The 16,121-nt window shown below is 49.4% G+C and overlaps 1 protein-coding gene across 2 annotated transcripts, besides 2 other annotated features; it reads left to right on the plus strand.

The window, feature by feature from the left end:
* Positions 1-502: 502 nt before the first annotated feature.
* Positions 503-15,092, plus strand: C5AR1 (complement C5a receptor 1). Of its 2 annotated transcripts, XM_047439300.1 has the most exons (3): positions 503-536; positions 751-837; positions 12,807-15,092. In XM_047439300.1, the coding sequence occupies exons 1-3, from the start codon at positions 519-521 to the stop codon at positions 13,854-13,856; spliced, it is 1,155 nt and encodes a 384-aa protein (XP_047295256.1). In that variant the 5' UTR covers positions 503-518; the 3' UTR covers positions 13,857-15,092. The 2 variants fall into 2 exon arrangements, with proteins under 2 accessions (XP_047295256.1, NP_001727.2); NM_001736.4 differs by lacking the exons at positions 503-536; positions 751-837 and adding an exon at positions 2,887-2,924.
* Positions 8,246-8,441: a silencer, noted in NCBI's record as "fragment chr19:47818477-47818672 (GRCh37/hg19 assembly coordinates)". NCBI's record gives its function as "represses an EF-1alpha promoter that drives an FKBP-Casp9 reporter gene in an ReSE screen in phorbol 12-myristate 13-acetate-treated (for megakaryocytic differentiation) K562 erythroleukemia cells {active_cell/tissue: K562(+PMA)}" and the evidence as "EXISTENCE:reporter gene assay evidence [ECO:0000049][PMID:32094911]".
* Positions 8,398-8,692: an enhancer, noted in NCBI's record as "tiled region #10427; HepG2 Activating DNase matched - State 5:Enh, and K562 Activating DNase unmatched - State 1:Tss". NCBI's record gives its function as "activates a minimal TATA promoter and a strong SV40 promoter by Sharpr-MPRA in HepG2 and K562 cells {active_cell/tissue: HepG2 | K562}" and the evidence as "EXISTENCE:reporter gene assay evidence [ECO:0000049][PMID:27701403]".
* Positions 15,093-16,121: the final 1,029 nt, after the last annotated feature.

Genomic DNA, 16,121 nt, shown 5'->3' on the forward strand with positions numbered 1-16,121 from the left:
ACATCTTAATCCCCTGAACCTGTGAACAGGTGACCTTCCATGGCAAAAGGGACTTTGCAGATAGGATGAAGTTAAAGATCTTTAGATGGGGGAGCGATTATCCTGGATTGGGTCTGGGTGGGCTCAGTGGAATCACAAGAGTCCTTATATGAGGAAGATAGAAATTTGAGACATACGGTAGAGGAGGAGGTGATGAGACCACAGAGGCAGGGACGGGCGTGGTGCAACCACAAGCCAAGGAATTTCAGGAGCCACCTGAAGGTGGGAGAGGCAAGGAACAGATTCTCCCCTGGAACCTCTGGAGGGAGTGGTGACATCTTGATTTTGGACTTCTGGCCTGCAGAACCATGCCAAAATAATTGTCTGGCTTTTTTTTTCTTTTTTTTTCCTTGAGGTGGAGTCTTGCTTTGTCGCCCAGGCTGGAGTGCAGTGGTGCCATCTTGGCTCACTGCAACCTCCACCTCCCGGGTTCAAGTAATTCTTGTGCCTCAGCCTCCCGAGTAGCTGGGACTACAGGCATGCACCACCACACCCAGGTAATTTATGTATTTTTAGTAGAGATGGGGTTTTGCCATGTTGGCCAGGCTGGTCTTGAACTCTTGACCTCAATGATCTGCCCGCCTCAGCCTCCCAAAGTGCTGGGATTGCAGGCATGAGCCACTGCGCCCGGTCCTGGTGTTAAGCCCGCAGTTTGTGCTAATTGGTTACAGCAGCCTCGGGAAGGTAATCTAGGCTCCTTCCTTGCCCCAGGCTCTAGGAAGTATCTTAGCCCCCAGCCCTGGGCTGCAGACCTGTACCAGTCCATGGCCTGCTAGGAACCATGCAGCATCGCAGGAGGTGAGTGGCAGGTGAGTAAGTGAAGCTTCATCTGTATTTATAGCCACGCCCCTTCGCTCATATTACCGCCTGATCTGTCAGATCAGGGGCGGAATTACATTCTCATAAGAGCGTGAACCCAGGCCGGGCGCAGTGGCTCAAGCCTGTAATCCCAGCATTTTGGGAGGCTGAGGCGGGTGGATCACGAGGTCAGGAGTTCGAGATCAGCCTGGCCAAGATGGTGAAACCACGTCTCTACTAAAAATACAAAAATTAGCCGGGTGCAGTGGTAGGCACCTGTAGTCCCAGCTACTCGGGAGGCTGAGGCAGGAGAATCGCTTGAACCTGGGAGGCGGAGGTTGCAGTGTGCCGAGATCGTGCCACTGCACTCTAGCCTGGGTGAGAGAGTGAGACTCCATCTCAAAAAAAAAAAAAAAAAAAAAAAGAGCATGAACCCTGTTGTGAACAGCGCATGTGAGGGATCTGGGTTGCAAGCTCCTTATGAGAATCTAATGCCTGATGATCTGTCACTGTATCCCATCACCCCCAGATAGGACCATCTCGTTACAGGAAAACAAGCTCAGGGATTCCACTGATTCTACATTATGTTGAATTGTATAATTATTTCATTATATATTACAATGTAACAATAATAGATGGAGATGGTTGTGGCTTGTGTAGTTGGGGGACAGGGTAGCTCCATTTTCTATTGCCAACTTTATAACCCTAGAAGGATGATTTTTTTCTTTTCTTTTCTTTTTCTTTTCTTTTTTTTTTTTTTGAGATTGAGTCTTGGTGTTGTCAGCCTGGGCTGGAGTGCAATGGTGCAATCTCTGCTCACTGCAACCTCCGCCTCCTGGGTTCCAGCAATTCTCCTGCCTCAGCCTTCTGAGTAGCTGAGATTACAGGCACCCACCACCACGCCTGGCTAATTTTTGTATTTTTAGTAGAGATGGGGTTTCACCATATTGGCCAGGCTGGTGACGATGGTTTTTTTTTTTTGAGACAGAGTCTTGCTTTGTTGCCCAGGCTGGAGTGCAGTGGCGCAATCTTGGCTCACTGCAACCTCTGCCTCCCAGGTTTAAGCAATTCTCCTGCCTCAGCTTCCCAAGTAGCTGGGATTACAGGCACCTGCCACCACACCTGGGTAATTTTTGTATTTTTAGTAGAGACAGGGTTTCACCATGTTGGCCAGACTCGTCTTGAACTCCTGACCTCAAGTGATTCATTTGCCTCAGCCTCCCAAAGTGCTGGGATTATAGGTGTGAGCCATTGCACCTGGCCCTAGAAGGAAGATTTAACAGTAAAATATACTTAAATGCTGGGCTACCTCCGCAGACTAGCTCAGCCTCTTTGGGTCTCAAATCAGCCTGGCCGGGAGGCTGAGTGGAGGTTACAGTCTCTGCTTTCTTGAATCCCAAGGGAGGGGTTTAAGCCAACTGCATTCCTGAGCTTTTGCCCAGAAGGCTGGCGTCTTAGGAGGAAAGAGATAGATGGCTCCAGGCCGGGCGCAGTGGCTCACACTTGTAATTCTAGCACTTTGGGAGGTTGAGGTGGGTGATTGCCTGAGCTCAGGAGTTTGAGTCCAGCCTGGCCAACATGGCGAAACCCCGTCTTTACTAAAAATACAAAAAATTAGCCGGGGGTGGTGACACACACGTGTAATCCCAGCTACTCGGGAGGCTGAGGCAGGAGAAGTGCTTGAACCCAGGAGGCAGAGGTTACAGAGAGCCGAGATTGCACCACTCCACTGCAGCCTGGGCGACACAGCAAGACTCTATCAAAAAAAAAAAAAAAAAAATGAGAGAGAAGAGATGGCCCCAAATAGGGAAACCAAGGCCAGGAGAGGGGCCGAGCCTGCACAGGAGCTTCCTCGGTTTTCCGAGCGCCGGCCCCCCTTCTCTGCCTGGGAGGAGGTGGTTAGAGTCCCCTGGGTGTGTGCCCCGCAGAGGGAGCTCTGGCCTCAGTGCCCAGTGTGCAGACCAATGAGAGCCCCAGAGAGAAAGACGGTCATTTCCTCCCTGCATCTTCCCTTGGGGCTTTAAAAACCACAGCCCTTGGGCAGGAGGGACCTTCGATCCTCGGGGAGCCCAGGAGACCAGAACATGGTGAGTCTCGAAGGGGAATGGGAGCAGGAAACTTTGTCCTGGGTCCCTCCCATCTTTGCTCCAGTGGGTCCTTCTCTCTCCCCAACTCTCGCCGTCAACTCTGTCTGTCTCTCCCTTTCCTTCTCTCTCCCTGTCTTCCACCTCCCACCTTCCCTCTCTCCTGCATCCCAGGCTCTCACACTCCAGGGCTGGGATGTGGCCATGGGAATAAGATTGTCAAGATTGTGGGAGCAACAGCAACCTCGTGGGGCTGGGGCCCGAGAAGATTCCCCAGGGGAGGGGACCCTTGAGTTGGGTCTAGTAAGGTGACTAAGAATTCCACAAGCAGCCGAGCGCAGTGGGTCACACCTGTGATCCCAGCACATTGGGGATTGTGCCAAGGCGGGAGGATTGCTTGAGGCCAGGAGTTCAAGACCAGCCTGGCCAACATAGTGAGACCCTGTCTGTATTTTTTTTTTTATTTAAAGAATTCCACAAGTGAAGAAATCTAGAACAGGCCTTCCAGGCAGTGGGAATGGCAGAGAAAATGTTGGGAGGCTGGAAAGAACCAGTTTGGAGGAATGGTCAAGTTACTCAGATGCTCTTGCAGATAGATGTTCTTTTCTTTTTCGACTTGGGGTCTTGCACTGTTGCCCAGGCTGGAGTGCAGTGGCACCATCATAGCTCACTGCAGTCTTGAACTCTTGGGCTCAAGTGATCCTCCCTCTTTAGCCTCCTGAGTATCTGGGACCACAGGCATGCACCACTATGTCCGGCTAATTTTTAAAATTTTTATTCTTGTAGAGATGGGTTCTTGCTATGTTGTCAGGGCTGGTCTCAAATTCCTGGCCTCAAGCCATCCTCCCACCTTGGTCTCCCAAAGCTCTGGGATTACTGGCATGAGGCCATTATGCCTGGTCGTTTGAGATGTTCTGCATGACAGAGATGGGGAAACTGAGGCCCAGGCAGGAGCAGAGATGGATGGGGACCCTCCATGGTTGGTGGCAGAAGCAGGTTATGCCATGGATTCTGTGAGTGTCAGAAGGAATGCACCCCAGGCTAAATGAGGGTCCCTGTCATCCCTGCGTCTGGAGGCCTGGGCACTGAGCCAGCAGAGCTGCGATTCAGCACCTGCTGTAACACAGGCATTGCCTTGCTTCATCTGTGTCAAAGAGGAAACGGAAGATGGTTTGGATGGACCAGGGAGGGGTCTGATGTTGCTTCATTCCTGCATTCCACCCTTGAGATCCGACTTGGGCAAACGGGACTCTCTGATTCTTCTTCTTCTTTTTTTTTTTCTTTCCAAAACATTTTCCAAAGTACCAAATGATACTTGGTAAAAACTCATTCTCGGCCAGGCGCGGTGGCTCATGCGTGTAATCCCAGCACTTTGGGAGACTGAGGCGGGCGGATCACAAGGTCAGGAGATTGAGACCATCCTGGCCAACATGGTGAAACTCCGTCTCTACCAAAACTACAAAAATTAGCTGGGCATATAAGCGGGCGCCTGTAGTCCCAGCACTTGAGAGGCTGAGGCACGACAATCGCTTGAACCCATGAGGCAGAGGTTGCAGTGAGCCGAGATTGCTCTACTGCACTCCAGCCTGGCAACAGGGCCATCTCAAAAAACAAACATAGAAAAAAAAAAACTCATTCTCCCTGCCTACCCCAGAGCCTCTGACTCCTTTTCTTTCCTTTTATTTTGAGACAGAGTTTCACTCTTGTCGCCCAGGCTGGAGTGCAATGGCACGATCTTGGCTCACCACAACCTCTGCCTCGCGGCTTCAAGCAATTCTCCTGCCTCAGCCTCCCGACTAGGTGGGATTACAGGCATGCGCCACCACGCCTGGCTAATTTTTTGTCTTTTTAGTAGAGACGGAGTTTCACCATGTTGGCCAGGCTGGTCTTGAACTCCTGACCTCACGTGATCCACCCACATTGGTCTCCCAAAGTGCTGGGATTACAGGTATGAGCCACCCTACCTGGCCCTCTGACTCCTTTTCATTGCCTCCTACCCTACCTGGGGCAACCATGGGATGCCAGTTTGTGGTGGATCCTTCCAGAAACAGTTTACAGATGCCTGAGAGCACAGATGCTTAGGGAACAAAGTAAGGACTAGTGTGATGCGGGGAACCCCAAAACCGAGCTCAGCTTCTGTCTCTACTATGAAATAGTTGCGGAGATCTGTCCTCTCCGTGCTTCTGTCTCCTTATCTTTTTGTTTTTTGAGACAGTGTCTTGCTCTGTTGCCCAGGCTAGAGTGCAGTGGTGTGATCTCAGCTCACTGTAACCTCCACCTCCTGGGTTCAAGTGATTCTCCTGCCTCAGCCTCCCAGGTAGCTGGGACTACAGGTGCCTGCCACCATGCCTGGCTAATTTTTGTATTTTTAGTAGAGACGGGGTTTCACCGTGTTGGCCAGGCTGGTCTTGAACTCCTGGCCCCAAGCAATCTTCCCGCCTTGGCCTCCCAAAGTGCTGGGATTACAGGCGTGAGCCATCGCACCCAGCCTCCTTCTCCTTATCTTTAAGGTGAAGATAATACTAGAATCTACATCATAGGCTAGTTGAGAGAATTGACTGAGTGAATGCATGAAAAGTTCTTGTAGCAGTGCCTGGTATACAGTTGGCGCTCAATGTGGGTGACATTTCTATCCTTTCCCAGCCTTATAAATGGCAGTATGTTTTGTACAGTACTCTACATCTGGCTTTTTTAAATGAATAACATATAGTATTATTAACTAGCATTTATTGAGTGCTTACTGCATACCAGGCGTTGTATTAGGCATTCATTAATTTCCCCTTAACCTTGAGGAAGGTACTTCATTCCCGTGTAGTTCAAGGGAGTTGCCTCCTCCTCCTCCTCCTTTTTTTCTTTTTTCTAGACAGGGTCTACTGAGGTCTTCCACCTCAGCCTCCTGAGTAGGTGGGACTACAGGTGCATGCCACCACACCCAGCTAGATTTAAAATTTTTTGTAGAGGTGGGGTCTTGCTATGTTGCCCAGCCTGGTGCTTCTTTCTTTCTTTTATCAGCTGAGTAATATGCTAGTAGGAGGTTTCATCCCCTTCAATGGAAATTTAGTTTGCTTCTAATATTTGGTCTGTTTTGTTTTGTTTTGAGACAGAGTCTCGCTCTGTCACCCAGCCTGGAGGGCAGTGGTGCAGTCTTGGCTCACTGCACCTCTGCCTCCTGGATTCTGGTGATTCTCCTGCCTCGGCCTCCCAAGTAGCTGGTATCACAGGTGCGTGCCACCACACACGGCTAATTTTTGTATTTTATTTTAGTAGAGACGGGATTTCACCATGTTGGCCAGGCTGGTCTCGAACTCCTGACCTCGTGATCCACCCGCCTCAGCCTCCCAAAGTGCTGGGATTATAGGCGTGAGCCACCGCGCCTGGCGTCCAGCCACATTCTTTAACTCAGCATCTGCAGACCTTCCAGTCCTATCTTGGCCGCCTGCCAGCCATGCTGACCTTTCGTTTCTGCTGTGCACCACCTGCCCTTCCTCTCTCCTTTCTGCCTAGAATGCATGCCCCCCCACTCCCAATGCACTTTAGGCCTGCCTGGTAGCCACTCAAACAGAGGGCTCTGGGCTGGGCGCGGTGGCTCATGCCTGTAATCCCAGCACTTTGGGAGGCTGAGGTGGGTGGATCACGAGGTCAGGAGATCAAGACTATCCTGGCTAACACGGTGAAACCCTGTCTCTACTAAAAATAAAATTAGCCAGGCATGGTGGCGGGCACCTGTAGTCCCAGCTACTCGGGAGGCTGAGGCTAGCAAATGGTGTGAATCCAGGAGGCGGAGCTTGCAGTGAGCTGAGATCGCGCCACTGCACTCCAGCCTGGGGACAGAGCGAGATTCCGTCTCATAAAAAAAAAAAAGAGAGAGAGGGCTCTGGGGCTCAGCTCTCAGGAGTTTCTCTCCTGTCTCTGTTCTTGCTAACCGAGAAGACTTGGAGAGGTCTGTTCATTTCTCTGTAGCCTCATTTTTCTCTTCTGGAAAATGAGTGTTGCTGTTGCAACAAGTAAGTCTCCTAGGGTTGCTTTGTGGGTTCAATGAGATAATACACGAGAAAGGCTCAGGACAGCCTGGCAATGATTATGGCTGTTCTTGTAGGTACTGCGCCTTCTCCTTCACCCTGTTCTCATCCGATCGTTCACATCTTGCGGCCAGCACCCTTGTCTAAGCCACCGTCATGCCTCACGTCACCTGGACAGTTCCAATCTCCGTTTCCTCCCAGCTTCTGCTCTCTGCCCCTTTCTCCATGCAACAGACAAGGGTTGTTCCTCTAATGAGCATGTGAATTTAGGAAGAATAATAGTACCCTGCCCTTTGTGCTATTGTCACATAGATATGCACTGTGATTAGGAAATTACTAAGCCAACACCTGGGAAGCACATGGAATAGTGCCGGGCAATTAGAACCCCCAGAGTGGCCCTGGACCTGCACTGCCCAATATGTGGGCCACGTGCCACAATGCAGCTACCTACGTTTATTTTTCACTATTTTATTTTATTTTACTTTATTTATTTTATTTTTGAGATGGAGTTTTGCTCTTGTTGCCCAGGCTGGAGTATAGTGAAGCGATCTCGGCTCACTGTAGCCTCCACCTCCCGGGTTCCAGTGATTCTTCTGCCTCAGCCTCCCAGATAGCTGGGATTACAGGCGCACGCCACCACTCCTGGCTAATTTTTGTATTTTTAGTAGAGACAGGGTTTCACCATGTTGGTCAGGCTGGTCTTGAACTGCTGACCTCAGGTGATCCACCCGCCTGGGCCTCCCAAATTGCTGGAATTACAGGCGTGAACCACCGTGTCCAGCCTATTTTATTTTTTAGAGATGGAGTCTCGCTATGTTGCCCAGGCTGGAGTGCAGTGGCACGATCTCGGCTCACTACAACCTCCACCTCCTGGGTTCAAGTGTTTTTCCTGCCTCAGTCTACTGAGTAGCTGGAATTACAGGTGCCTGCCATCACACCCAGCTAATTTTTGTATTTTTAGTAGAGACGGGGTTTCACTATGTTGGCCAGTCTGGGCTTGAACTCCTGACTTCAAGTGATCCACCTTCCTTGGCCTCCCAAAGTGCTGGGATTACAGGCGTGAGCCACCACGCCTGGCCTCACCCTAGATCTTGGAGGTCTTTCCACATCATTATATAAACATTCTTTTTGTCTGTTTTTTTCCTTTTTGTAGGGATAGGGTCTTGCTAGGTTACCCAGGCTGATCTTGAACTCCTGGGCTCAAGCAATCCCCCTGCTTCAGCCTCCCAAAGTGCTAGGATTACAGGCATGAGCCACTGCACCTGGCCAACTTTTCCATTCTTTTTGATAGCTGTGTAGTATTCTGTTGCCTGGATGTACCATCATTAATTTAGCCAGTCCCCTCTTGCTGGACATGTCAGTTATTTCCAGTCTTTGGAGAGGTGCTGCAGTGGCAAACTTTGCAAGCCGTTTGCGTCTGAAGATCCCGGAAACCACAGGACGTTGGAATCAGCGTATTTTTTCTGCCTTTCTGAAGTCAACCAGAGGAAAGGACTGAGTGAGCTCATGGCAGGAACGGAGCTTTGTCAGCTGATGAGGGAGTGACAAGGCGATGTCAGAGCAGAGGGTGGGGAGGCTCCCCTTACGAGGGTCTGAGTCATTCTGCAGTCAAGGATTGCTGGGAGCTTGCGAAACCAGCAGAGGCAAAATTTACCTTCATGCGTCACAGCCAAAGGGAACATTCAAAATATTTAACAATGTGCTAAAGTGCAGAGGTCCCCTGGGCAGGGTCTAGGGCCTCCTGCTGCACCTAGCATTAACTCTTTAGTGACATGAACATGGCGACCTGGAGTGGGGGTGTCCCAGAGTAGGAAACAGGAACTTAGGGTGCTGGGAGCGGGCAATAGAAGAAGTGGGTGGCTGAGGGCAGGGGCTGTTTACCAGTGAAAATATTTTTAAAAATGTTAACCTTCTATTTGGAAATATTTTCAAACTTACGGAAAAATGACAAGAATGGAACAGGCTCATATACATATACATTTTACCTAGACTCTCCAAATTTACTGTATCTGTCTCTCCATTATCCATCCATCCATCCATCCATCTGTCCATCGATTCATCCATCCATCCATCCATCCATCCATCCGTTATCTAGCTATTTTTTTTTTTTAGACAGAGTCTTGTTCTGTTGCCCAGGCTGGAGGGCAGTGGCGCAATCTTGACTCACTGCAACCTCCACCTCCCAGGTTCAAGCGATTCTCCTGCCTCAGCCTCCCAAGTAGCTGGGACTACAGGCACACACCACTGGGCCCAGCTAATTTTTTTGTACTTTTAGTGGAGATGGGGTTTCACTATGTTGGCCAGGCTGGTCTTGATCTTCTGGCCTCAAGTGATTACAGGCATGAGCCACCATGCCCAGCCCATTATCTATGTATCTATCATCTATCTATCTATCATCTATCTCTCAATCATATCTCCATGTATCCATTGTCTGTCCATCAGTCATCTATCTGTCCATCATCCATGCATCCACTCATTCACCCATTCGTTATCTATCCATCCGTTTATTTATATCCATCCATCTTTCTATCACCTTTTTTTTTTTTTGAGACAGAGTCTTGCTCAGTCAAGGCTGGAGTGCATTGGCATGATCTCAGCTTACTGCAACCTCCGCCTCCCAGGTTCAAGTGATTCTCCTGCCTCAGTCTCTGGAGTAGCTGGGATTACAGGTGCGCGCCAACACTCTGGCTAATTTTTGTATTTTTAATGGCCTTTTGTGACTGGCTTCTTTCACTTAGCATCATGTTTTCAAGATTCATCCACATTGCAGCATGTGTCAGCACTTCCTTTTCATAGCTGAGTAATATTCCACCACGTGGCTAAACCCCACCTTTTTCATTCACTCATTAGCAGATACTGACATCTTATCTTTCAATAATTTACTCATGGATATGATTCCACCAGTAAATGCCCACTGCCCATAGCCTGGCTAACCTTGGGCAGGTGCAATGTAAGGGAACTAGAAAAAAAAAAACAAAACTATCCAGGCATGGTGGCTTACATCTGTAATCTCAGCACTTTGGGAGTTCAAGGCAGGAGGGTTGCTTGAAGTTAGGAGTTTGAGACCAGCCTGTGCAACAAAGCGAGACCCATCTCTACCAAAAAAAAAAAAGAAAAAAAATACAAAAATTAGCTGGGTGTGGTGGTGCACAATTGTAGTCCTAGCTACTCAAGAGGCTGAGGCAGGAGGATTGCTTGAGCCAGAGGGGCTGGGGTGACAGTGATCCATGATTGCACCACTGCACATAAGCCTGGGTGACAGATCAAGACCCCGTCTCAAAAAAAAAAAAAAAAAAAAAATATAAAACGGGGCTGGGCGTGGTGGTTCATGCCTGTAATCCCAGCACTTTGGGAGACCAAGGCCGGAGGATTGCTTGAACCCAGGAGTTCGAGACCAGCCTGGGCAATACAGTGAGACCCTCCTCTTTAAAAAAACATTAAAAATTAGCTGGGCACAGTAGTATGCACCTGTAGTCCCAGCTGCTTGGGAGGCTGAGGCAAGAGGATCACTTGAGCCTGAGAAGTCAAGGCTGCAGTGAGCCAAGATCACACCCCTGAGCTACAGCCTGGGTGACAGAGTGAGACTCAGTCTCAAAAAAAAAAAAATATATATATATATATAGTGGTTCAGGGATGTGGATCTGAGCTCTTCAATAACTGACAAATAATAATACCAATGGCTGCCACTTCTTGTCCTCTTCTCTGTGTCAGGCGCTGTGCTAGGTGCTTAGGCATTTTTCATCTTATTTAATCTTTGAGGTGAGTGTTTTAAAGGTAGAAAAACCAGGCCGGGTGTGGTGGCTCATGCCTGTAATCCCAGCATTTTGGGAGGCCAAGGCAGGCAGATCACGAGGTCAGGAGTTCGAGACCAGCCTGACCAACATGGTGGAACCCTGTCTCTACTAAAAATACAAAAATTAGCAGGGTGTGGTGGCAGGTGCCTTTAGTCCCAGCTACTCAGGAGGCTGAGGCAGGAGAATCGCTTGAACCTGGGAGGCAGAGGTTGCAGTGACCCGAGATCGTGCCACTGCAGTCCAGCGTGGCGACAGAGTGAGACTCCATCTCAAAAAAAAAAAAAAAATGTACAAAACTCCATCTGCAAATTCAAATATTTAGAGCTGCAAATACAGCTCTCAGTATTTCCAGAATGATTTCTATTTCTTGCTGTCCCCTTTTCTCTGGGTTGGTGTCAAAGTGGCCTTCAGGACTGGGCTAGCTCCATAGGTCACAAAACTCACCTCTTGGAAATGGTCAGGGGCAGCCTGTCTGGTTTGCATTCCAGCCCGTATGGGTTCACATCCTCTCTGAGTGACCTGGAACAGCCTACTTCACCTTCTGGTGCCTCGTGCTTCTTCATCAGCGAAATGGGCATTTTTTTTTCTTTCTTTTTTTTTTTTGAGGTGGAGTCTCACTCTGTCGCCCAGGCTGGAGTGCAGTGTCGCTATCTCAGCTCATTGCAACTTCCACCTCCCAGGTTCAAGTGATTCTCCTGCCTCAGCCTCCCGAGTAGCTGGGATTACAGGTGCCCGCCACCACGCCTGGCTAATTTTTGTATTTTTAGTAGAGACGGGGTTTCACCATGTTGGCCAGGCTGGTCTCGAACCCCTGACCTCAGGTGATCTGCCCACCTTGGCTTCCCAAAGTGCTTGGGTTATAGGTGTGCACCACCACACCTGGCCTGAAATGGGCATATTAACAGAACCTCCTTGTAGGTTGTGGTCAGGATGGAAAGAGCAAATTCCATGCCGCATGCATAGTAGGTGCTCAGTAAGTACTGGCTGCTTTCGGGTGATCACTCAGTGCCCTGATGGGTGCTTTACTGCAGTGTCTGGTGCCTCTGGACACAGATTTCACCTACAAGGCTTTCTCCAGTCCAGCTGCCATGGACTGCAGCCTTTCTTTCTTGGGTGCATGACAGCTTCCTTCAGCTCTGTCTGGGAAGAAGTGATCAGGACCTTTTTGTTCTATTTTTTTTTTTTTTTTTTTTTTTAGATGGAGTCTCACTCTGTTACCCAGGCTGGAGTGCAATGGGGCTGTTTCGGCTCACTGCAACCTCTGCCTCCTGGGTTCAAGCAAGTCTTCTGCCTCAGCCTCCCAAGTAGCTGGGATTACAGGCGCCCACTACCACGCCTGGCTAATTTTTGTATTTTTAGTAGAGGCGGGGTTTCACTACATTGGTCAGGCTGATCTTCAACTCCTGACCTCGTGATCCACCCACCTCGGCCTCCCAAAGTGCTGGATTACAGGTGTGAGCCACCGTGCCCGGCCAGTAGGGCTAGACTTTGACGTTAGGCTGCTGGATCGTGGGGAAGCCCAGGGGCTTCGCAGGATGGGACTGAGGGGAGAGGTGGCAGACTGGCAAGGGGTCCAACTAGCATGGAATCATTTCATTTTTTTTTTTTTTTTTTTTTTGAGACAGGGTCTCACTCTGTCACCTAAGCTGGAGTGCAATGGTATGATCTCGGCTCACTCTAACCTCTGCCTCCTGGGGTCAGGTGATCCTCCTACCTCAGCCTCCGGAGTAGCTGGGACTACAGGCAAGTGCAACCACGCCTGGCTAATTTTTGTATTTTCAGTAGAGACGGGGTTTTGCCATGTTGCCCAGGCTATTCTCAAACTCCTGGGCTCAAGCAGTCCGCCCGCCTCGGCCTCCCAAAGTGCTGGGATGACAGGCGTGAGCTACGGCATCTGCCTCAATATTTTAATAAGTGGTGTGACACCCTAGTTGACTCTCAGCCCTCAGCATCCCCATTTCCTAGTGAGAAAAAGCCACACAGGGGAAAAGCCACATGCCTGAGCCAGGATGCCCCCTACCCGGGCACATGTCTGCAGACTCATCCTCTCTGCTCTCTCCGATTCCCCTTAGGACTCCTTCAATTATACCACCCCTGATTATGGGCACTATGATGACAAGGATACCCTGGACCTCAACACCCCTGTGGATAAAACTTCTAACACGCTGCGTGTTCCAGACATCCTGGCCTTGGTCATCTTTGCAGTCGTCTTCCTGGTGGGAGTGCTGGGCAATGCCCTGGTGGTCTGGGTGACGGCATTCGAGGCCAAGCGGACCATCAATGCCATCTGGTTCCTCAACTTGGCGGTAGCCGACTTCCTCTCCTGCCTGGCGCTGCCCATCTTGTTCACGTCCATTGTACAGCATCACCACTGGCCCTTTGGCGGGGCCGCCTGCAGCATCCTGCCCTCCCTCATCCTGCTCAACATGTACGCCAGCATCCTGCTCCTGGCCACCATCAGCGCCGACCGCTTTCTGCTGGTGTTTAAACCCATCTGGTGCCAGAACTTCCGAGGGGCTGGCTTGGCCTGGATCGCCTGTGCCGTGGCTTGGGGTTTAGCCCTGCTGCTGACCATACCCTCCTTCCTGTACCGGGTGGTCCGGGAGGAGTACTTTCCACCAAAGGTGTTGTGTGGCGTGGACTACAGCCACGACAAACGGCGGGAGCGAGCCGTGGCCATCGTCCGGCTGGTCCTGGGCTTCCTGTGGCCTCTACTCACGCTCACGATTTGTTACACTTTCATCCTGCTCCGGACGTGGAGCCGCAGGGCCACGCGGTCCACCAAGACACTCAAGGTGGTGGTGGCAGTGGTGGCCAGTTTCTTTATCTTCTGGTTGCCCTACCAGGTGACGGGGATAATGATGTCCTTCCTGGAGCCATCGTCACCCACCTTCCTGCTGCTGAAGAAGCTGGACTCCCTGTGTGTCTCCTTTGCCTACATCAACTGCTGCATCAACCCCATCATCTACGTGGTGGCCGGCCAGGGCTTCCAGGGCCGACTGCGGAAATCCCTCCCCAGCCTCCTCCGGAACGTGTTGACTGAAGAGTCCGTGGTTAGGGAGAGCAAGTCATTCACGCGCTCCACAGTGGACACTATGGCCCAGAAGACCCAGGCAGTGTAGGCGACAGCCTCATGGGCCACTGTGGCCCGATGTCCCCTTCCTTCCCGGCCATTCTCCCTCTTGTTTTCACTTCACTTTTCGTGGGATGGTGTTACCTTAGCTAACTAACTCTCCTCCATGTTGCCTGTCTTTCCCAGACTTGTCCCTCCTTTTCCAGCGGGACTCTTCTCATCCTTCCTCATTTGCAAGGTGAACACTTCCTTCTAGGGAGCACCCTCCCACCCCCCACCCCCCCCACACACACCATCTTTCCATCCCAGGCTTTTGAAAAACAAACAGAAACCCGTGTATCTGGGATATTTCCATATGGCAATAGGTGTGAACAGGGAACTCAGAATACAGACAAGTAGAAAGATTCTCGCTTAAAAAAAATGTATTTATTTTATGGCAAGTTGGAAAATATGTAACTGGAATCTCAAAAGTTCTTTGGGACAAAACAGAAGTCCATGGAGTTATCTAAGCTCTTGTAAGTGAGTTAATTTAAAAAAGAAAATTAGGCTGAGAGCAGTGGCTCACGCCTGTAATCCCAGAACTTTGGGAGGCTAAGGTGGGTGGATCACCTGAGGTCAAGAGTTCCAGACCAGGCTGGCCAGCATGGTGAAACCCCGTCTGTACTAAAAATACAAAAAATTAACTGGGCATGGTAGTGGGTGCCTGTAATCCCAGCTACTTGGGAGGCTGAGGTGGGAGAATTGCTCGAACTTGGAGGTGGAGGTTGTGGTGAGCCATGATCGCACCACTGCACTCTAGCCTGGGTGACCGAGGGAGGCTCTGTCTCAAAAGCAAAGCAAAAACAAAAACAAAAACACCTAAAAAACCTGCAGTTTTGTTTGTACTTTGTTTTTAAATTATGCTTTCTATTTTGAGATCATTGCAAACTCAACACAATTGTAAGTAATGATACAGAGGGATCTTGTGTACCCTTCACCCAGCCTCCCCCAATGGCAACATCTTGCAAAACTACAATGTAGTCTCATAACCAGGATATTGACATTGATACAGTGAAGATACAGGACATTCTCATCACCACAGGGATCCCCAGGATGCCCACTTCCCTCCACCCCCACACCCCAGCCGTGTCCCTAACCCCTGGCAACCAGGAATCCACTCTCCATTTCTATAATGTTGTCATTTCAAGAATGTTATTCAATGGAATCATATAGTATGTAACCTGTTTTGAGCTTAAAAAAAAAGTATACATGACTTTAATGAGGAAAATAAAAATGAATATTGAAATGTTGTGTTATTTCTAGTGAATAATTGACTTTGCAGTAGGTATTAGTCGATTTTCACACTGCTGATAAAGACATACCCAAGACTGGGAAGAAAAAAGAGATTTAATTGGACTTACAGTTCCACATTGCTGGGGAGGTCTCACAGTCATGGCAGGAGGCAAAGGCACTACTTACATGGTAGTGGCAAGAGAAAATGAGGAAGAAGCAAAAGTGGAAACTACTGTGAAACCCATCAGATCTTGTGAGACTTATTAACTATCACAAGAATAGCAAGGGAAAGACCGGACCCCATGATTCAATTATCTCCCCCTGGGTCCCTCCCACAACACATGGGAATTCTGAGAGATACAATTCAAATTGAGATTTGGGTGGGGAGACAGCCAAACCATATCACAATATTTCTGCTTTGATTGTGTAGTGTGCATGTGCATGGATTATCTAGAAATAGCGTGCAGACCAGCCAGCTGTGGTGGCTCATGCCTGTAATCCCAGCACTTTGGGAGGCTGAGGCAGGCAGATCACCTGAGGTCAGGAGTTTGAGACCAGCCTGGCCAACATGGTGAAACCCCGTCTCTACTAAAAATACCAAAATTAGCTGGTGTGTTGGTGCACACCTGTAATCTAAGCTACTTAGGAGGCTGAGGCAGGAGAATTGCTTGAACCCGGGAGGTGGAGGTTGCAGTGAGCCAAGATCATGCCACTGCACTCCAGCCTAGAGTGAGACTCTGTCTCAAAAAAAAAAAAAAAAATTAAATTTAGAACTAGTGTACAGACCCAATGTCGTCCAACAGAAATATGATGTGGGCCACATGTATATCTTTGTTTTCTAGTAGCCACATTAAATAAGTAAAAAGAAATAGATGAAATACTTAATAATATAATACAATCATATGTTATATTAAGAACAATGAGGCTTATGTCTGTAATCCCAGCACTTTGGGAGGCCAGCCTGGGCAACATAGTGAGGCTCCATCTTCAAAAAAATTAGTCTGAGCATGGGGGCTCATGCTTGAAATCCCAGCACTTTGGG

The sequence above is a fragment of the Homo sapiens genome, chromosome 19, assembly GCF_000001405.40.
Source record: "Homo sapiens chromosome 19, GRCh38.p14 Primary Assembly".
In the NCBI taxonomy this organism is placed as follows: domain Eukaryota; kingdom Metazoa; phylum Chordata; class Mammalia; order Primates; family Hominidae; genus Homo; species Homo sapiens.

Excerpts from the sequence above, each read along its gene's own strand:
- C5AR1 (XM_047439300.1), top strand. Across the intron at positions 838-12,806 it reads ACCATGCAGCATCGCAGGAG|GACTCCTTCAATTATACCAC; the intron begins GTGAGTGGCAGG and ends GATTCCCCTTAG.